This window comes from Homo sapiens, chromosome 5, assembly GCF_000001405.40.
Source record: "Homo sapiens chromosome 5, GRCh38.p14 Primary Assembly".
Taxonomy (NCBI): domain Eukaryota; kingdom Metazoa; phylum Chordata; class Mammalia; order Primates; family Hominidae; genus Homo; species Homo sapiens.
In genome coordinates this window covers 158,748,530-158,771,434 of record NC_000005.10, presented here as the reverse complement: position 1 = coordinate 158,771,434, position 22,905 = coordinate 158,748,530, and the positions used below count along the sequence as shown (strand labels likewise).

At 37.1% G+C, this 22,905-nt stretch overlaps 1 protein-coding gene across 28 annotated transcripts in view, besides 1 other annotated feature; it reads left to right on the top strand.

Moving 5' to 3' along the window:
• EBF1 (EBF transcription factor 1) overlaps positions 1-22,905 on the top strand; it is a 403,997-nt gene that overhangs the window by 328,482 nt on the left and 52,610 nt on the right. For 3 of the 28 annotated variants that reach the window (XM_017009203.2, XM_017009202.2, XM_047416892.1), the window contains exon 11: positions 12,111-12,736. The exons of the other annotated variants lie outside the window; for them this stretch is intronic. In XM_017009203.2, coding sequence (XP_016864692.1) covers positions 12,111-12,157 — 47 coding nt within the window. In that variant the 3' untranslated portion in view covers positions 12,158-12,736. Of the gene's footprint in view, positions 1-12,110; positions 12,737-22,905 lie in introns of those variants that run through there. 28 annotated transcript variants of the gene reach the window in all.
• Positions 18,869-18,988: a silencer, noted in NCBI's record as "silent region_16566". NCBI's record gives its function as "represses an Ori minimal core promoter by ATAC-STARR-seq in GM12878 lymphoblastoid cells {active_cell/tissue: GM12878}" and the evidence as "EXISTENCE:reporter gene assay evidence [ECO:0000049][PMID:35858748]".

Genomic DNA, 22,905 nt, shown 5'->3' with positions numbered 1-22,905 from the left:
ATCTGTCCCTTTCTACTTGAAGTTTTACATACATAGAACATAGTTTCTTTAAATGAAAAAATGGGATTTGGCTTATATTATGAATTTCATTTTCTTATCTGTAAAATGGAGCTATTTTAATAGTACCTTCATCTAAGGAGTAAAAGGGTTAATGTATGTAATGCAATCCTGAGAGTACCTGGTCCAGTATGAGTGCTCCCCAAAAGTAAGTGAGAAAAGCAGATAGTGGGTATATATATTTTTGAAAATCCAAAGAATTTGTCATTAGAGTTTGATGTTATGTATGTGTCAGCTTTGATTATGAGTAAAGACATTGTTTCTTTCTAGGCATTAGAATAGGAATAAAAATACCTGTGTTCTGTTCTGATTTTACCACTTCCTTTTGTTACTTCATTCATTCACCTCACAAATGTTTGTGGATTGCCTGTCTTATTCTAGGCAATGTTCTAAACCAGTTCTAGGCCAAGTCCTGAAACAGTGTTAAGCAAAACCAGACACAATCCCTGTTTTCTTTATTCTAAAGACTAAGAGGGAAAATGGGTGTTCATAAGTTTACTATTTCAAACCTGGTACGTGTCCAGAAAGAAACAGCGCTTTTGATCAGCACATAATAAAAGAGCCCTGACCAGTCAGTTAGAGATATTTCTCTACAGGAAAAATTGCACAAGCTGAAGTTTGAAGGATGACAAAGAGCTAACCCAACAACCAGTGAAGGGTGGGGGTAGCATGGGGTTAGGGAATGAGCCTTCCAGCAGAGGGAGCAAATGAGAAGGCCCTGGGTGGGAGGAAACACGGTACCTTGGACGGCTGTAAGAATTGCAGTGAGGCTGGAAAATCAAGAGGGAGGAGGAGAACTGTGAGACAGAAGGCTGCGAGAAGTAGTCAGGGACAAGGGTATGCAAAACTTTATAAGCCATGGGGAGGAGTTTTGTTGTTATCTTAAGAACAATGGACAGTTTTGAAGTGTCTGAAATGACAGGTGGACGTGACCAGGTTTACATTTTGGGAACAAACTAACTCTGGCTTCAAGAAGCATAGGAGACCAGAATGTATCTTGGAAGGCCTCTTAGGAGGTCATTGCAGTAGTCTGGGAAAGAGATTTGGTGACTTTGATTTGGGTGGTAATCAGTGGAGATGGAATGGAGTGAGAGGAATCAAGAGGAATTTAAGAGGAAAAATGGAAAGGACTTGATGGGTTAGATGTGGGGATGAGGGAGACAGAGGGGTTAAAGCTGCTAGATTTTTGTCTCCCTCAACTTAAGGGATGGTAGGGCCATCACTTTTCTGTGCATCCCAAGGATCTTGTGAATATCAATGAAAAAATGGCCATGAAAATATTTTGCATAGCGTAATATTCTATACATATGTTAATTGTTATAAAGACAAGCCTAAGCAAACTCAGAAAGAATTGGAGAAAGGAAGGCAAGAATGTGTTTTCTTTTTTGTCAGATTGTTTTCACTTAGGGATTCAGCTGAAAGAGGGCTGGGTAATGAATACTTGACTAGCAGCTCTGCCTTAGCAGTGTCCTAATTGGAATAGACCCAACAAGAAAGAAAAATTCACAGGCTGCTCCTGTCCACATGTCTTAAATATTACTCCAAATGAACCATTTACACACAAAGAAAAGAATTCAAGGCAGAGGGAGTGTTTATTCTTTTTGCTTTTGTGATACAAAGGGTAGGTCCCAAGCCTCTCCTTTTTTTTTTGTTCCACAACATATGATTTTTCCCTGATCAGATGTATGCTGATGTGATCAGTGATTCTGAATCTGCTGGCATTTGTACAGTTAAATACTGTTGGTGTCATAATGAGAACAACAACAACAACAAAAGTCACTGAAAGTAACCATTGTACTTCCGTGACAGCTATAAAATGAGAGCCATTTCTGCAAAGAATAAAGCTGATCTGAAGGAAGCATATTATTTTGCATATTTTACAAATATACTTTCCAAGAAATATGACCTTTATTTCCTATTTGGAGTGGAGTGTAATCAGGACTTGAGTAGCCAGTATAACAGGATCATTAAAAGGGATATTTTCACTGACATTAGAGGTCTAAATGGCCACGAGGCCTTATATACAACCTTGGCTTTTTCCTGTCTACCCAGAGTTAATAAGTGATAAGGCCGGGAGAGAGATAAATCACAGAAATCCCTGTCCAAAGAAAACATATTGACTACAGCCAAGCAAATAACAGACCATAACCAACGGTCCCATTCATCATTCATGTAATAGGGATATGAAGTATTTCCTACCAATGAAACCGTACAGTAGGAAGAAGCAGATAAGCTGGTCCAATCTAAGGCATGAGATTTGGTTATTAAGGAACATGAACTATTTGTCACATGGCTTTAATCTTAAGATGTGTTGCCATTTCTAAACTATAAATTTCTGGTAAGGGATTAGAAAGCTATTAACAATAAAAGTAGGAACTGAGCTGTATATGTATTCTTGCCAATGTAATGCAACACTGTAAAGTTTTGAACCTCTAATCTTTTTAGTATGATATAACATGATTTGGTTTTCAAAGCCAATAAACTATTTGGAAGTATTCAAGTTTTCACTTTTTTTAAACCGAACATCATGATAAATTAACCCTTCAGCTTTTGACTGTATATCTTGAAATTTTCTCAAATATTGTGGAATAGGAGTAGGAAGTGGAACTCTAAATTTCTTTTCCTCTTTTCCTAAGATGTATTCCAAATGTTTGATGGAGGATTATTCGTTTTACTTATCTGTGTTTGCAGTGATGTGGATGCCAGTCCTGTTCATTGTTAAAGTTAACGAAGAGACGTGGGACCCGCTAGGGCATTCACTTTTGTTTTTCATTCTTTACTGCAAAGTTATGCATATTGATTTCAGATCATTTAGGAAGCACCAATAAAACATAATTAAAATAATATTGAAATTGCTTACATTCCTACCGGTTTCTTGTTACATAAACACTCAATAAATGTGAGCTATTAATATTGTTTAATGATATATATTTTGCAGTATTTTTCCTATGCATATATCTGACTTATTACCATAATAATTATATCTTACATCATATTATTTATCTTTTTTCATTTAAAAATACATAAATATCAGGGAGTTATGAATTTAAAACAATTTTTAGTCATTGATAATCATCTTATGCCCTAGCAGAACCTTATACTGAGATATATCATTATCTTCATGTTAAAGCATAGCCCCCTGGAATTTGGTTTCTCCTCTCTTTTTCTTTCTGAAAAACCCACAGCACAGGGTCAATAAGTCCTACACCTGGATTATTTGGGGTCAGGATCTGAAATTTATCAGCCATCCCCAAATGAGTGGGTGTGTGTTGCTCCAAGGACCCAGTGTCCTGAGAGCTTGGGAGCGGCTCCCAAAAGCATTTAGCTATATAGTGTGGCACTGCTTCTGTTTTCAAGCTAAACAACCTCCAAGGTAAATGAATTCCATAATCATGCTCCCCTGCTTCCCGGGACCCACCACGTGCTGTACTTTTCGTAAGTTAAAATGGAACTCATCTAAAACCCTAACGATATCTGAAATGTAATCAAATCCAAAATTGTAACAAAAAATAGGTAAATGTAGGCCCCTCTCTGATCCTCCATAGGCCAGCAGCATTTCTTGCTAGAGCTTTCAGCTCCTCCTTTCTCTCCCTGCTCTTCTGGTTTCCCACTTCAGTGGGCTTTTGACATTTGTTGACTTTTCTCCTGTTGTTCTCTCCTATTCCACACCTTTTTTTTCACCCTAACTCTATCTTTTCTCCCAGTCTTCTTGTTCTCTACAATTACTAAATGTAAAGCAATCCCCACCCCCACCCCCTGGTGCCACCCCTGAGAATCTGTGTAAGACAAGCCCTATTATTAGCCTATTTTTAACACCAAAAAACTCAGGTGAAGTGACTTCCTGGGTTATTTAGTAAGTGGAGGAGCCAGGACTTGAACCCTGGTGAAGGGTACCAGAGCCTGCACTGAGTAAGCCTCCTGGCATGCTACTTTACCTTGTTAATTTATGGAATTACCTGATTCCCTGAAATGCAGTTGTTGGTGATGGGAGAGTGGCAGGTATTTCTAGGACACGTGAGTTCTGACAGGAACTGGAGCCTTAAGTATTTTAACCAAATTATATAATTGTGAACATAATGCATACTTATATGGAAGATTTTTAAAATACAAAAAAGTATGAAATAATGATTATCCATTATTTCATCCCTCAGGGATAATCACTGTTAATGTTTTTGAGTACTTACTTCTAATATAGAAACCATATAGAAGGAAGAGACAGATAAGCTCTCACAATCTAAGGCATGAGATTTGGTTATTAAGGGACATGAACTATTTATCACATGGCTTTAATCTTTAAGATGTGTTGCCATTTCTAAATTATAAATTTCTGGTAAGGGATTAGAAAGCTATTAACAATAAAAGTAGGAACTGAGCTGTATATGTATTCTTGCCAATGTAATGCAAGACTGTAAAGTTTTGAACCTCTAATCTTTTTAGTATGATATAACATGATTTGCTTTTCAAAGCCAATAAACTATTTGGAAGTATTCAAGGGTATTCAAAGAAGGTACTAAAAAATACTCCTATATTTTTATCAGCAAGTCACAATAGGTTTATATAGTTTTGCGTCCTGCTTTGTTGTTTATATTATACACTACACATTTCCTCTGTTAGTTCAAATTCTCCCTGAATGCATTTTGGTGGGTGTATAATAGTCCATCTGATGGCTGCACCATAATTTGCTTCATCATTCCTCTATCATTGGACAGCCATATCTTGTCTTTTTTTAGAATTTTTAACATCAGCTATGCCAGAATATAGTGTGATTCTGAATATTTGGTGTTCTCCCTTTTTTCTAGTGAAGTTTAGGGCTTCCAGAGCAAGTAAACCATATACATATTTATAGATACCAATACATTATCAAATGTCTACTTACAATATTTCACATATAAATTTTGTTACTTGTACATGTCTAATATCACATACATAATTTACAACATTTACAAATACAACTTCTGCATTTTGGGTTTCCACCCTTAATCAAACTTTTTCAAGTCATTTTTTCCATCAGTTGTTTTAAAAAAATCAAAGCCAGAGCCATTTTTCTCCCATTATAGTCTCTTCTAAGTTGTTTGTGATACACCTCTTTTTAAATCTATGCATGGTGCTTTCACTGGAAGATTTTTTTCTCAGCCATAAGTAACCATTAGCAATATTTTAAAAACCGATATTTAAAAGGCTTGTTTTGAGGAATGCTTGTAATGATAAGAGGTCAATCCTCCTTAAAAAGATACTACATTTATATTAACTTTCTAATCCTTTTTGTCTTGACTGACTTCTGCACCTCCGTAAGCATTACTAAACCACCATTGATTATGATTATTTCATGCCCCTACCGATTTAAAGTAACATAATTGAGAAAGCATCTTGCTTTAAAAATACTCAAATATTTAATGAGATAACTTTTTTTGGAGGGCAGGGGATCTGCCCATATATAGTTCAGCATGCTGATATTTCTTTCCCGTTGCTGGGTCCTCAGCCCTGTGCAATCCTTGGTATGAGTTGAATTATCTGTACCACAAGTCAGATATTTTTGACTTGAATAAAGTAGGCTCACCCTTTTACATGGACCTCATATTATTCAAGGTACTGAGAGTGCAGGTGGAAACCATCCCATTAATATCAGGCCTGAGTTTTTCTGCAGTATCTCTCAATGGTGAGAGGTAGACAGAAACTGGCACTCCCTAAATCATGAGCAGAAACAACAACAGAAGAGCGACTTCCCCTCATACCCACTGCTGTTCAACCTGGCACATGTAATTGTTCATCTTTTTCCTGTTAACATCAACTGTGGTTAACTTCTTTACATCACGGGTGGAAGGCCTGACTTGCTAGGCATAGCCACCTGGGATCAGCCTCGGTGGTTAGCTGCAGGAAGCACCAACTCCCAGTCATTATGGAGTTAATTTAGATCTTTGTTTAATGCCAAAAATATATTCACATTTAAATATCTGCACAAAATATGGCCTTCCCAGTCATTCTACACACGTTCATCATTTCCTTTTAGTTTTAATTGATTTTTAAAATAGTCAATGAGGCCAGGATGACTCTTTGAGCTTGTAGCGAGGTTTAGATGAAGGAGTGTCTCTGAATAATCTGTTTTCAGCAAGCTTGTAATTCTCATAATTCTCTACTTTTTTAAGACTAGAAAAATGAAACATTTGCATTGGTTAGCTCAGAAGACATAGGAGGGTTATCTAAAGGTTTAGAAATTTTCCTTAATAAAATTACTAGCATCAAAGCAAAAAAATTGTTGTGACTTACTGGAATGTTCTGTATCGGGGGTCAAAGTACAGGTCTGACTACTGACACTATGTGTCTCTTCTTCATCATAATGTTTGTAGAAACAAGTAAATGTACTTAAATGCATTTTTATAGTTGACAAAGCCTTTCTCATTCATCAATTCCTTTTTGTTCTTTATGAGGAAAGACAGGTATTTTTAGCCCCATTTTCAGGTGTAAAAATGAGGTGTAGAAAGAAGTGAAGCGGTTCACTTATGGTCATTTAAGCCATCTAGTGATGGGTCTGATATCAGATCTGTATCCTCCAACTAGTTGATTATACCTTTCAATATCTTAGATTTTTATACCTACCAAATGGACTTATCCCAGTTTTATTCCACTTTTTAGTTTTCTATGAACATAATTCACTAGTTAGACTGGGGGCTTCTAGAACCTCAAGCTGCCTCCCCAGCATTGACACTTTGAGTACATGTAGTTCTTTTATTGACAGCGCTATCACCAGCTGATACAATCTGAATTATTTCTTTGCTTCCTTGTGTGTAGCCTGTGTCTCTCACTAGATTATAAGCTTCCTGAAGGCCGTGTCCTTGTCTTTCTCAACCAGTGTATTCACAGTGCCCAGCACGGAGTGAGATGCAATAAATATTAGTCAAATCAATGCATTAAAAAATGTGTGAAGGAATGACTGACAAATGTGACCTTAAATATATGGGATGTGAGTCTTCAAGATAATCTAGTTGTCCAAGTTGTTGATGTCTTTATAGATGGTGAAAACAAGGCTTACAGAGTTTTAAAGACTTGGCTAAAGTCTGTCAGTTAGTGGTAGATATTTACACCAGATTCCTTTTCTTCCACCTATCAGCCAAGAGCTTGTCTCCACACTACATATATTTTCCTTAGGCTCACCTAGTTATAAAGAAACTGTATGACTATAGAGCTCTAGAATCATGACAGATCCCAGTTTGAATCCTGGCCCAAATTCTTGCCAGTTTCTTAACCACTCTGAGACTCCATTTTTCTCATCTGCAAAATAGGAATGAGAATATATCACAGGACTGCTGTGAGGGTTTGATAAGGTCATGCATATAAAAAGCTTAGTACAGTGCATGGCATACAGTAAGTGCCTGATTAATGGTGGATCTTATCAAAAGAGCATCCAAGAGAACAGTTGCCTGTAATTTTGAGTTTTAGAGTTGGAAAGGTCCTCAGAGATAGCCTGGACCAATCCTAACATTTTGTAGAGGAGGCAGCTGAGGCTCAGATAAGGGAAGGGTCTTTCCCAAACCAACACAGGATGTATTTGCTTACAAAACCAGAGCAGATCACATATAAATGGATTTACTAATTACTTTGTGAATAGATTCCCAAGTATGCAAATATATAAAAACATAAAATTTTTGAATGTATATGAAAATCAATCAACAAACATCACCATGGTCGTTTGATAAACTCTTTATTTCTCTAATTTCATGAATCTTTCAGTAAACTCTCAAGGAAAGGGTGAGGTGGTATAGACGCTTAATTCCTTGGACCTTCCAATATGTGATATGTTTACAAAAAGGGTGTCATGGACATCATTATTCTGATTTGTTTACATGCTTTTCTGTCTGTTGACAAAAAAGAAGGGGGTTTTCTTGACCTCTGAGTAAATCAAAGCCCCACAGAAAAGCCAAGTGCCATTTTCACTGTGGGTGAAGTGGAGTTACGCAATTTAAAGGCATGTCCTTTATCTCATCTTTTTGTGGGAGCCCACTGTAAGAGCAGGGCATGTCAGACACCAGCACATTGTTGGAAGACCTCATTGGAACTGGTGGATCATATTCCCTGGGTCCATTTGGGGAGGGACTTAGTGGGGTCCACCCAAATATACTGTCCCCTGCTGCACTCTTGTAATTTAATGCCCAGTGGAGACTTTTGGTGAAATTCCCTCTTGGCCACAAAATGTCTGTGGACCCTCCTTTGTGCCTCAGTCCCCTGGTGGTCCTTGAGGAGATAAGATGTAAATGCCTTTATTCGGTGATCTTCTGCTTAGTGGGTTTAGAGGCAAATCATTAAGGGCCAATGAGAGAGAAATACTTGCAAGATGATGGTCATCAGGGATAAGATTAAAACCTGTTTGAGAAGAGATCTGTGCTGTGTTCCTGGCCCAGTGAAGTTACTGTTTGTTTGATGCCCGACAGGAACGTTGACTGGCTAACAATGAACGAGTCCAGAAAGTGTTGTTAGGATTATACTGCGGTTAGAGGTGAGGAGGGTATCATTCAATTTTTCCATGGCATATCCCAATTCATAAAAAAATTAGCTGGGTGCAGTGGCTTACGCTTGTAATCCCAGCACTTTGGGAGGCCGAGGCAGGCGGATCACGAGGTCAGGAGATCGAGACCATCCTGGCTAACATGGTGAAACCCCGTCTCTACTAAAAATACAAAAAAGTAGCTGGGCGCAGTGGCGGGCGCCTGTAGTCCCAGCTACTTGGGAGGCTGAGGCAGGAGAATGGTGTGAACCCAGGAGGTGGAGCTTGTAGTGAGCTGAGATTGTGCCACTGCACTCCAGCCTGGGTGACAGAGCAAGACTCCGTCCCAAAAACAAAACAGAACAAAACAAAAAATCAAGATTGTATTATATAAGGGATTTCTGTTCTAAACCTTATTTGGGGCTTGTGTTAGGATTCAAAGAAAAGATTTTGTTTCCAGGCCTTCCTAAAAAGGCACTCAATTATTGGTGAAAAGCCAAAAAGGGCCAGTTGTCCATTGATGCTACAGGTAATGAGTAGAGTAAAAAGTAAAACATATCTATTCCCCTTTTCCAACTGCAGCTAATTAAGGGTAGCTCATTTAAAAACAGACCTAATTTAATCTCTAATATAAGTATTCAATTAAAGTTGTTCCCGCTGCTTTCTTCTAAGAAGGCTGCTTTATACATTTATATATGATGCATTTATGGTGTGAATCCTTCTAAGGATCCAGGTGGTAATAGAAAAGTGCTTTCAGGACTTCATAATTGCCCAAATTAAATAATATGTATGTAAATGGGGGTTGAGGTATAAATTGTGCACTGCAATGCTATAAGGAATTGAGCCCCTATATCCTGCTATCTTTTAGCCAACCAGAATAAAGTACTCCCCATTTTATTCTATACTACTTAGAATAGTTTATTGCATTATTAAGTACATGTTACAAGAAGCACATTGTTGTTTAAGACTCATTGATTTAAGTAGAACTATTCTTATAAAGTTCCATAGGCTTTTACATAAAAAGAGAAGAGCCCGTATAAAATTATAAAACCTTAATGTAATAAAACAGCCTATAATATAATATTCTCCCATTTTCTAAAGAAATCACCAAAAATTTTTAATGAGTTTATTAGAACCACTGTTTGTGAATCCTGGGATGTCATGTCTAATTAGACTTAATGGATTTAAGTATTTCTTTAATGAAATCTCTAGCTTAACTCACCAGGATTATATTCCTTGTCCTCCTGCCCTTCAAATGATTTTACTTTATTTTTATTTTGGGTAGCATTAAAAAGAAATGAAAGACTATGATTCTGCCTCATTCTCAGATGGATATAGTGAAAAATACAGTGCTTATTATGAAGTTAATGTGAATTACCATGTAATTACCACTGGCTGCACTGTAATGATTATTTAGTTACCACTGAGCATTCTCTGCCAAATAACACACATTATTTCATAGGAAGCATAGAATTAACTCAAGTCATCCCGGAACTCGGGGAGAGAGTATATTCCTGATCTCTTTCGTTGAGTGTAGGCGCTGCTAATGTTAACATCGAAATAATCAAGCTTGGAGCAAACCGACAGCAGAACAGGATATGAGTTTACATGATTTGATTTGCTGATGTTTTAAACACTTAGCAGGAGACAGCTATAGAAGCCAATTAAATCTCTCCAAGGTGCATAGAGTTATCTCCTTTGTGAGAAACAATTTAAGGGAATTGCATTGGCCCTTTAACTGAGGGGAGAAAAAGCATTAGGAATGAAATTTCAGATGCAAAGTGCTGATCAATCCTGCCTCTTTTTGTGTTTTTCAGCTTTGTGCTGTTTGGGCTGTTGCTATTTTAAAGGATTTGCACTTTTATTTTGCAAGCACAGGGTTATGTTAAACTTTTCTTTGGCTATTGATTATGACGTGCTTTAAACAAGGCATTGTGTCTAAAAGAGTAAAACAAAAACAAAAACAAAAAACATGTCAGTACATTCTGTCCCTTTCAGATACTGCATCTTATTTAGTGTACCGGAATTCCCAGTTTAAAGTAATCACAAAATTTATGGAGAAGCGGATAAAAAAGGTTGTAAAATATCGATTTGAGGAAAATAATAACACAACTCATCTATAATAAGAAGAAAAATGAAGCAATAATTCAGGGGGTATCGAGCGGCTTGCTGCTGGGAGTATTGATCCAGTCCTTTACGGTATAAGATCGCACCTGAGATTGCTCTGAAAGAAAGAACAGCATTCCTTCGCTCATTATTTCTTAGATACTATCGCCTTGTTACATGGGTCCTGCAGAGTTGGAATAGTTGCGGCTGGGAGAGTGGGACCTGCAATAATAATAATAAATAAATAAATAGCTCAGAAATCTATATTGCCTTAAAGCCACCATGCCTGGTCTTAATAACACATTGGCTCTGGTTTTATAAGTTCTTCATTGCCTTATAGTAGCTAATGACAATTCCTATGTTGTGTGGTTCATTTAGGGGCCGAACAGATCTTCATCTTATATAATGGGTTCTCATGTTTGGAAGGAATTCCTGTCTTGGCTGTTGTATTTCTTGTTAAGTCACTAAATTGAAAACAATACACTTATGCCACGTTGGGCCATGGAAAATGTTGGCTTTTGCTTTAATGGGGCATTGTTTTACATTTTAAGACAATTTTTGGACTCAGCAGGACTATGATGGTTCCTGAGCAAAATCTTTAAATAAATTTGGCCTGAAACTTTGAAATTCAAGTTCATAAGTCATGAATTTCTGATTTGTGATAACCGTGAATTTATTAATTCACCTAGAATTTCTAAAGTCTTAAAGGACAAATCTACTTGGCAATGTACTATCATCACAGTGAGGCCTTAAAATGGCAGACTGTATTTCATTCCCGAAGAATTCTAGGTTCTTTTCAGACTTTAAGATGATCTTACAAGTAGTATTGAGGAAACATGAATATTTTGTTGTCACATTATTTTTTTTTTGGAGGGGAGGGTGCAATAATATTCAAATTCCAATTTAATTAAAACATTTTGAATAGCTATTATGTTCCAGGCATTTTCTATGTTCTGTAACCCAGAAAGGTGAGGTTCTTGCCCCCAAGACACCTGTATTCCAGTGAAAGAAGGCAGGCAATACACAAGGAGGCAGAGAAGATAATAATCAGATTGGCAAAAGTGTTAAGAAAGAAATAGGGAGGATGATCTGGTACAGTGCAATGAGGGGAGCTAGAGGACTTCTTTAGACAGCCATGTGTACCTTAGAATTTGTACAGTATACAAATGGATAGCACTGTAAGCCCTCACAGCATCACCCAGGTACACTTATTTTTATTTCCAAGCATCTGTGGACTTTCCCCAGCGCTCACGCTATGCTATCATTTGCCCAGAAGATTCACTCTCCCTATCCCATCCCCCAGCCACTCTGTGATCATTATCTAGAAATATGAGCCGTACCAGCTGACTATGTTCTCAGTAGATCAAGCTTCCTGAAATTTCAAAAACATTGATTCATGTCATTGTAGCAGATCCTTGAAACTGTTGTTTCTGTAATATCTGTCTCTCCCTTTCTGACTCTAAAAAAATAGGTCCATGGAACAAGAGGCTCATGCCTGGTGACAATAAAGGCGAATAGAGGGGGAAGGATGGAGAAGCAGAAAGAATAAGACATCTAACTATCAAGACTAACTCCCAAAATAGCTTTCAATAAACTGCAAAGCACACCCCTCCTTCTTTATCCACATAGTAAGATTGAAAGTCGTCACTGAGTCTTAAACTGTGAATATTGAAATTGTGAGATGTATGGTACATTTAATGGAGACGTTGGTGAAGTGCACAAGTCATTTTAACTTTGTCTTTTAATTTTCAAGATTTATTGGTTCCAAGGGAAGAGAATATTTATAAGCGTTTTAGGTATTCACAAAACATGTAGTTGCCAAACAGTGCAAAGAATGAAAAGAAATCATCATTATGAAGCTGGATGATTCAGGAAATGTGGTGATAAATATGGGAGTGACAACATATTATCTCAGCCTTTTCTAGCTCCACATTTTTGAGTCATGATTATCAAGTGTATCACTGCAGGGAGTATGCTAAGTCAGTTTGGAGCTAGAGGAATTTTAGTTTTAAAAGAATAACCACGCCATGTTTGGGAAGTACAAATACAGTAAATGATGTCACGTCATCTCAGTTTGAATAAATATATATTGTATAATTTGCTTCTGTCTTTTAATTTCTCATAATGAAAAGAAAGTGGCAAGCAACATGAAAGCAATTAATTGCAACAATGATTACTTAGCTTCTTGGTGCCTGAATTAAAAAGAATATTAAGATTACTTTTCTAATAGCTCATATGTTTTTTTAAAAAAGTCATTGATGTTTTATAAAGGGCAGGTGCATTTGAATTGTCCTAAAACACTAGTTTTTCCCTTGTGGGCAAACAGATTGTCAAAAGTCAACTGTTGGCCATTCTGCTGGTTGTTTCATAGTGTAGTCTCAAATTCAGGAAGATAAATGTCATATCCTAGCTAATCTATTGTAATCCTTCTCTGTTGTGTGCTTCTTTTTAATTTGAGACAGGCTGATTATTGAAATACAAACTTGTGACTGTCACTGTGATTTTCTTACGTGTATAAGTCCTCTCTCATCAGCCCAGAGCTTTGTATTCAGCAGTACCCAGTAGATGTTAAGTAAATGAATGGATCAAGAGTCAAGACCTTGCCCTCTGGCCATAGAGAGATTACATTATCATTTAAACCTCTATTTTCTTACCTCAATAATGGAGAAAATAAATAAGCATATCTTCTTCACTAGTTTGTTGTGACAATTGAAATAATACGAGTAAAGTACTTGGCACATGATAAAAGGTGCACATGAAGAACTCAAAAAATGGTAGCTGTTATTAAAGACTTTAAGTGGTTCTCAATCTGTGATTATCTCAGAGTTTACTTCCATTTGGTTTACAAGTGTATTTCCAGTGCCTCGTACTATGCCTTGTCTAGAAGATGCTCAAAAAGTGCTTGCTGAATGAACAAAGCCCCCGATTCTTATTAATAAATAACAAACAGCTACTGCTGCTAACACTCACAAAGCACTTACTCTACCACACAGTTTTAAGCACTCAACATATTTTTAGACATCTAATCTTAAAAACACTACAAGACAGGTAGTATTATTATCGCTGTATTACAAATGAAGAAACTGAGTCAAAGAGGTGTTCAGCATTTGCTGAAGGTTATGCAACTAGAAAGTGGCAAAGGCAGGACTTTTACACTGGCAGACTGGCTTCAGAGTCCAGGCTCTTGTGCGTATAACATGATCTTCAGTATTTAGGCACAAAGGTAATGGAAATGTTGCACTGTGCCCCATTTATTCATTCAACAAATATTTATTAATCATCCTCAGTATGTTAGTTACCGGAGATACCACGTACATAATGTGCAAAGATGTGCATAATCCCTGCCCTCATAGAAATTATAGTCTAACAAGTCTGATTTCCTCAAGTTTCAGTTTGTTCCATACTTTCCTCAGTGACTCTTGTAATGAGAGACAGTTAAAGTCTGACTTGATGCAGTAGAAGGGAGGCTATAAACATTTGCAGGAAGGAGAGTGCAGGGGTAAGCCTACAAGGGAAACAGGGTGGTATTGTACTGATCACTATGGGTTACCCAGCAGAGAGCCCGCCTTCCCTTTAGGATGTATGCATGTAGCATGCCTTTTGAAGCCCTGGATGCCACTGAAGCCCTTTTCTCCTCTCAAATTTTGTAAGCAGATGTGTGGTCTTGCCATCTGTACCACCACACTGACATCTGGGTCCAAACTGAGCAAAGCATTGTTCCAATTTAGCCACAAGGAGGCAAGCTCCTGGCTCAGCCTGTGAAGGGTGATGGGGTATTTGGAATGAGCCCACTTTCTTTTTCTTTTTTTTTTTTTTTTCAGCATGAGGGTGAGAAGTCATGTTATTTTACAGAAAGGCTCCACTAACTTTGTCTTTTATGTCCAGTGCCTCAACTTCAAGGCTACAGGAATTAGTGCCCACGTGTCCACATTTTAAATCTGTGGTAGAATGTCCTAAATCCATAGGCACACACAAACCGTGGCACATGCATGAATTTCACACTGTTCTGCTTGTCTCTCCAGTTTGAATTTGCCCTCTTCATTATTTAGTTAATTCATTTGTTCATTCTTTCATTCATTCATCTATTTCTTTATTAAATGTTTACTGGGGAATTAAAAAAAAAGGCAGCTGCAAGGATAGAGTTTGCATGTTAGGCACCACAAGCACAATGACTGGCAGAGAGTTAAAGTCCTGTAATGGTTGTCAGATAAGTGGATTGATGAAGGAATAAAAAAGGAATTCAAAAACCATTACGTTTATACTTCAAGAGGTTATTTTTAATCAGGAATGGATTCAAGTAAAATATTCTAAGTAATTTTTGAAGAATGAGTAAGTTACTCAATTTAAAAAAATAAAGGGGGCAAAAGAAAAAATCAAATTTGTCCCAACAGAGTTCAGTGATTTTACAAAACAAATCCATTGATCTAGACTCTCCCAGTTTTGTCTGCCTTTTCCTGTGATCACAGGTCAAGATGACTGATTACCCTGGGAAACACGCTATAGTCTATCTCATAAACAGAAAAAAAAAAAATTCTCACACTTGGTCAGAAGGCAGCCAAAACGCTTCATCTCCAGAGGCTGGGAAAGTTGATCTGTGGTTGAGATTTGGCCAGAGGGAAACAGCCTGCCAGAATGAGAGCCTGGAATCTGGGGGGCTCAACCAAGACTCCAGTAGAACTCACCTCAACAGCCCAACACATTCAGCAAGTTAGCAGCCAGGGCCAACTACAGAACTTAGTAAGGTTTGCTGCTGAGCTCTTTAAGCTGCTAAAGTACCATTGACATTTTGGCCAAGTTAGGAAATTTAAGAAAGAGAGCCTTAAAAACAAAAGTATCTGATTTCACACTTTCTTTTTTTCAATAGGAAAACTTCCAGATGTCTTTATCTACACTATTTCGTTCAGAATCATAGGTGATCTTTCACCAAACTATGTTTTGAATATTTGGGCACTAGTTTTTGCTTCCACGGATAGGTCCTGACCCAAACTCCCTCAAACATAGAGGTTCTCCCCAAATCCTATCATGGCAACCATTTTCCATGAAGCCCCTCTCCCTCCAAGGGCATTGTACCAAGGCCCTTGCAGGCCTCAGCCTTTGTTTTCTTTTTTAAAATTCTGTGGGAGTTCCAAGTCCATCAAATATCTCAAAATGCCTTCCCAATCCCTGTATTTCTTTCCACTTTTAGGCCTTCAGCTAGTTAATCCCAATAAAGATTTAGGAGCTTGAAAATAAAATGAACTTCCTAAAGTAGAAGTCTATTCGTCTCTTGAATTTCATTCTCTGCCTTTTATTGAATGTCAACTATGTGCAAAGTGTGGTACAAAGCACTAAGATAAAATAGGAGACAGGTGCAGAGCAAGGATGAACAGGAGGCAGGCTGTGCTGGCATATGATGCAAATCAAAGTGACAAAATGCTCTGGTAGAAATCTGGGTAAATGGCTAGGGAGAAGACAGCCTAACCTGGGAGTCCAGGGAACTAGAGAAGTGGGGAGGGGATATGGCCAGGGGGCTCAGGGTAGGAAAGATTACTTTAAATGTGTGTTTTCTACTTTTTTCCTAATTACTGAGCTCCATCTTCTTAAAATTGGGCAATGGGCAGTCTTTATATGTGAAAAAAAAACAAAACAATAAACATTAGTTTATAAGAAATTATAAGAAAAACTCTACACCATCATCATCTATCCCCCTTTTAATTTTACTTCTCAGCCATAATATGTTCTACAATAGTCCAGGACCTTATACAAATGATGTCCCAAACTCATTGTTGTCATTGTCCCACTCTGTCCTCTTAATACCTTATCTCCCCGACCTCTCATGAGAGATTTGAGGTTACTTAGGGTGTTTTCATTTTCTTTATCATGCTATGGAAAAGCCTGAGCACTCAACTGAATTCAATTTTAAGTAAGAAAAATTCCTTGCAATTAAAATTGTTTGCATTGAATTGAGTAGAGTTTCCAATATTCATCCATTGTCATCTAAATACTTTTGTTTAGAGCAAAATAAGGTGCTTATTACAATGAGTCAAATATTTGGGGGTCTTTGTCAGGTCAGGATGGTGTTTTTGATCTGGTCAAAATGTAGTATTTGCTAATACTTTTTCTAACTAGAAAAAAATCCAATCTGATATCATAGATTTGGAATCAAGGCTGGTGAGTGGCATAGGTTGAGGAGGCTCTTTTGGAAAAGTTATTGACAGAATAAATAAATGAATGAATGAAGAATACTCCAGCCTGGATTTAAGAGTAAACCATATCACTTGCTTCCTTCTCAAGATGGCCTTGTGTGGATTCTTATGTTATTGAAGCTTTGGAGCATTTTGCTAGGAAATTCTTTCCTTCTATTGCAACATCGTGGCGATCAGGCTGCACTGTCAGTTGAGCACTGGGGACTGAGATGTTTGTGAATGCTGTGGTCAGTCAGGTCTGAGTTCAATGAAAAGTCATTGCCTGAGGGTTGCATAACTTGATTGCTACAGGTAGAGAATGGCCTTTCACCAACACCAAAGATTTATTGGCTTTTGGGTGGGAAAAGTCAGCTTTTATATTTCAAGAGAGTAAATCATCTCTTGTTAATTGTGAAGCCTTTAAAGGCTATTTAGGATGGTGAACTTCTGCTAGAGCTTCATGCAGTAATATGTAAAATATGTAGTTGACCAGAAGTTTACAGTTTTGACTAATAGAAGTATTAGTCAATGGGTAATACTTCAAGTTTGCCAAGTCCCAGCTTATAACTGGACCTTCATAAGCCAGCCTCATGTTCTAACAGTCAGAAGCACTCTAGACTTGCAACTTTAAACCCTAGTTAGAAAAAAAATTAGCAAATACTATATTTTAGCCAGAAAAAAAAAATCTAGGGCTACAACATTTTACCAGGGACTCATGTTAACATTTGGTCTACAACAACTTTGTTTATAGAATACTCATGCAGGTAAGTTTTGTGGTCGTCACAATCTGTCTGAAAGTAAACATTTTTGGAAGTAGAAATTTGAGAAAGCTATGGTGGTGCTATTTAGTAACATAGGCCATGGAGAATTTGGTCAATGAAGATCAACAACTTTGATGAAATAGTTTTTGCCTGAATAATGAATAATTTATTTTGCCTAACAGTCTACATTGCTAAAAAGGTGAAAGCAGTGGTCAATTTAATGAAGAAAAGTGCATTCACTCAAAGTTTTTGGCAGAAAGGAGAAAAAATATCTGGTTGATTGATTTCCTTATTTGCTTTCCAGCTGGTGGTTTTGGTGTGGTCGAGACACTTCATGGGGTTCCTGCCTTTAGTTATGCTAGTTGTAGCAGACCACTACCTTGAATCAAGAAAGCATGTTGGTCTAACTCTAAGATTATAGCCAGAACCCATCAGAGGGCTAGAATTTCTTTCCACTAAAAGTTCCTTTATAAATTCTTGTGTTTTGTTGTGTTTCTAGGTATATGTTTAAATGGTTTCAAAATTGATTGCTTTTAATAGTTCTTTTGTTGTTGCTGACAGTTGTGGAGAGAGTAAGATGGAGATACACAAAGCCTTTTCTTATTAACAGATTTCCTGTTATACATGTATTAAGATTGTCGGCTTCTACTCCGGTATCCTTTCCTTCTAGCTTGCTTCACCAGAGGGAGAAAGACTAGCTCAATTATATTATCCTGTTAGATTGCTTAAATCATGTTTAGATAAAAAAAAATTACTTTCTGCTTTCTTACTATAGTTCATGATTTCCATTTTGTAAGGCATCTTTTCTAAATTTTGTGCTTTATTATTTTTGCGGTGTTGAGCGAGCGAAAACAAACTCTAGTTCATAATTCACTTTAAAGAACATACCCTTTCTTTCTATTTTCTTGTTAAAACCAAATTGTGTGCAATTTGTAGGAAATTGAAACCACATTTTTCACTTAACTTTCCAAAATTAAAATTTATGGGGAAAAAGAAGCAATAAAACAGTTACAATCTGGTCATCTATAATTATCTGTGTGGTGTGAGCAGTTCCACATTTGAAAAATGTGACACGGATAACTTATCAAGATTTTACAACCGTGGGACATTTCACTTCTTATTTGCTGCATTGGAGCCAAGATCTCCACAAAATGCTGAAAGTTACCACTGTCAGTTTGAAAGTTACATGTGTGAAGAGGAGCTTTGAAATGTATAGAAAACAATGGACAGTATCTAAAAACAGTTGTTTTCCTCCCTCACTCAGTAACGAAATGTATTACAGTAAAAATTTGCCATTGTAGACTGTTCTTATTTCCAGTATTGTTCTTGATTTCAGTTACTTTAACATTCTCTTGTCACGCTCTACTGGGTAGGAGAAAACCACAGAACTAGTGAGATGAACCGTCTATTTCTGTTTATTGGTGCTGCCATTGCTGTCTTGGTATCTCCATTTCTAAAGCTTTCTGCATCTTTATAGATTTCCTAAGAAATGGATCCTTGAAGATATTCAAGTCCTAAGCTGTGCTTTTTTTTTTTTTTTTTTGGAATAAATACTTTTTCCCCTTTTAATCTTGCCATCTAATTGTTTCTAAGTTATAATAGTAAAAAGTTTTAGATTCTAAGAAATTTGATACTTCAATCCTAGTTCTTAATAGAGGGAAAGTTCATTTAACAATGGCTCCTTTGTGGAAATATAATCATATTTAGACAACTTGATGCAGCTGTGGTGAAGTCATTCATTTGTGTTTTCATTCAGTAAACTTTTATTGAGTATCTATTTAGTTTCACATCTTCTGTTAGAATCTAAATATAGAGTGGGGAACAAAACACTACAAATAGTACTGCACATAGTAATTATTCCCTTGAACCTTAGCATCATCAACATCATTCTAGATAAAAATGTATGGATGGACAGATCTTTGGCAGTATAAAAAAACCATCTAAAACCACTACAATCCTGAGTCTCGACTTAAGCTCAACTGAAATTGCACCCTTGCCTCAGCAACTTACAAATGCTCAAATGTTTTATAAATATTTTGGCCATGTCCATTTCTTTATTTGTAAGTTGATTCTGATCAATATTATCAGAATTTTAAAGATGTATTCATTTAATGGATAAGTACTTATTGTATAACGTAGTCTTCTAAGTGTTTTACAAATATTTAGCCCATTGAATCCCTGAACATCTCTATAGGGAAGGCACTTGACTGTCCTGATTCAACAGGTAAGGAGACTGAGACATAGATTAAGCATTTGCCAGAGTTACTCAAGTGGAGGAACCTGGCCAGACCGTCTGACTCCAGAATTCATCCTCTTAACTGTTCCACTGTACTCTTTCCTCAGTACTTTGGTATTTCTATAACTACGTATGTCTTTTAAAAGTGTGATGATCCCTGAGTGTATGACGCTTGGACACATCTGGTAGGATTCTGCAGACAGCTTACTCTGCCTGTAAGTGGAGAGGTTCCAAAGAGGCATCAGTAAAGGAGTCCCTGGCATGTGATGGCCCTCAGGTCATTATGAGCCAGGGGCAAACGCAACATGTGTCCTACCTTCCATTCATTCTAAGTTGTTCATTCGCCCGTCTCTCTAATACGTGCTTAGATATAAAAATAATATGTGCTAATTTAGAAAATTTAGAGAAAAACAGGATAGAATTTAAGGAGTTCAAATCATCCAATAGCCATCACCCAGAGTTGACCACTAAAAAGATTTTTGTATATTTCTTTCATATTTTTCTATACATAACAAATATATATGAACATTTTCTTCGTATTTGTGGTTATACTGTATATGTGTTTACACACACACAGTTTTATATCCTGTTTTTTTCACATAGCCTAATAAGCATTTTCCCACGCATTAAAATTTCTTCATAAACATGTTAATAGGCTGCATCATCTCCCACAGTGTGGATTTACTATATTTATTTATCCATTCACTATTGCTAGAAATTTAAGTTGTTTTATTTATACTCGTATAATGATACAATCTTTGCTCTTTTCTCTAACTTTGATGCTTTAAAAACCATAGTAATTTGTGGTAACTAAATGTTCTATCCCTTTATGAAGATTTTTTTTTAAATGCCCTAAATGATTTTTTTTTGCAAGTGGTAGATTTTTAAAAAAAACTTTTGAAATAATTTTTTCATATAATGCTTTTATTATTTGCACTATAAAATGATGCTATAAAATATAGAGTAGAAATAAAATATGCCCAAGTGTCCACATGAACTCACAATTAGTCTAGGAAATTATATCTAGCCGTAAAGTGAGAATATTAAAGCTCTTGTATCTATATTAATACAATCAGCCATACTTTTTAATGATAAGTATTTAATCTATCAGTCTCCTCTCTCTTTTTTATCACCCAGTTGCAAACTAGATTCATTTTGGATAATTACCTTTGGTACTAAATGTATATTATCTGCCCAGTTAGGAAATAGATCAGAGGGAATTCATAAATCAATAGTAATAAAGTAAACAGAGAGAATGGAATCTATTTCCTCTCTTATCATTTGTTTGAACCCATGCTACTAAAGACAGGGACCCTGTCTAATGGATGTCGGACAGAGGACCACAAGTAAACCCCACTGGGAACAGCTCTCCTTTAAGAATTGATCTGATATTTCAGGAAATATCTTATTGTTTGAATATTATAATGGTAGGTGCTTAATGACAACTACGATGCTTTGACTTCTGCTGTTTACAGAATTGATTTCAGTTTCTCTTTCAATGTTTTTGTATCTATTCCTGGATGCACCTCCTTTCTCTCCAACCTCTTTCTAGCCTTCATAAAACAATTTTTGACAGAGCATTAATGTTAGATTTACCAGTGTTATGCTAACCACAATCTCATTGTCCAAAGGGAGATAAAAATCCAGTGTCCCATACTGTTGACTACAAAAGAGGCTCTCTGTAGTTTCAATGTTGATGTCATCATGAGAAAAGATAATTCAATACTCAGAGTGGGACCTGTACCTCTACTTCAGCACAAACATGGGAGAGTTAGTTTACCTTGCCCAGACCTCTAAATATTCTAGCAGGCTAATGAAACTCTGAGAAAAGGTATGTCCAGCCTCCCTTGTTGATATGCTAAATCCAACAGCCAAGAAAATATTCCTGCCGTGTAAAAGAAACTCATCACTGCTATTATTCAGTGTATATTCACCTCCCTCGTGTAATACAAAAGTATTACCTGTTTTCCCCAAATCCTAAACTCTATAGGAACTTATTGACTTATGTCACAACTAATGGCATTGCTAGGAGGTATACTAGAGCCCACTTTCACAGTTTTCTACCAAGTGTTGACTTCACTGTAGCGTGGTTGATCCTAGACTCAAGTGACCTGATTTGGTGGTGCCTTCCACACCAAAGTTTCAAGGCCAGGAATATAGTGAGTTAGGAATCTCTTTCTGTGTTTACAGGATTATGGTCACTGTTGGTTTTAGAATCTTGGCCAAGGGGAAGACTATTAGATTCTGAGTTTATTTCCAAAGCAAAAGCAGGAAATCTAAAGAGATGGCATTGCATATTTTGGGAGGTGGATCTTCTTCATGGTTTCCAGTATTTTAATGACAATTAGAAAATTGTTTTTGATAGGATCCAAGTAGTTCCAAATTCAGAAAGAACTTAAATACGCTTCTGTCTTTCACAAAGTCCAATTGTAAATGATGTCTTTATTAGCAGAGATACATACTCTTGCACCCTTGTCACTTTAAGAGGCCACATACTCGGGAAGAGGTATGTGCTTCCTCAAGGAGCTTGCTTCTCCTGGCATAGAAGGGCAGTCAATCTAGGCCCTCTTCCACAGGGAATTGCCATGCTGTGGGCCACAACTTGACAAGATTGCCTTGGGGACACACCTCAAACTCCTGCTTAGGTTTTTCTGCTCTGGAGAGACAAAGTGGGACTTTCAAACAGGCCAAATATTTCAAGAGAGAAATCTGCAATTAGTTTTCTTCCCCCCTCCTTTGATCATTATACCATCCTTTTACATCTGCCAGGCTCTATTTACAAGCCTCCTCTTCCCTCAGTAGGCACATTTGAAGCCTGCTTAACTGGTATTCAGAGGGCAGAATGGCATTATTTGTGATTCCTTTGCCACTGACTCGGAGCAGTGATGGGAGGACGTCAATTTTGCAAGGGCAGCATTATTTGACGCTCTTACTGCTCAGTCCCAGAACGCTCGTTTGGTTGTGAAGATGAGCACTTAATATGCTCTCTTCTTTTCTCTCCTGTCCCTTCCATATTCCTGCTGAATCTCACATTCCTCTAAGCACAGCCCTGAGAATGCCAGCCTTCAGACAAGCCAGAAAGAAGACACTATGTGAAAATGGGGC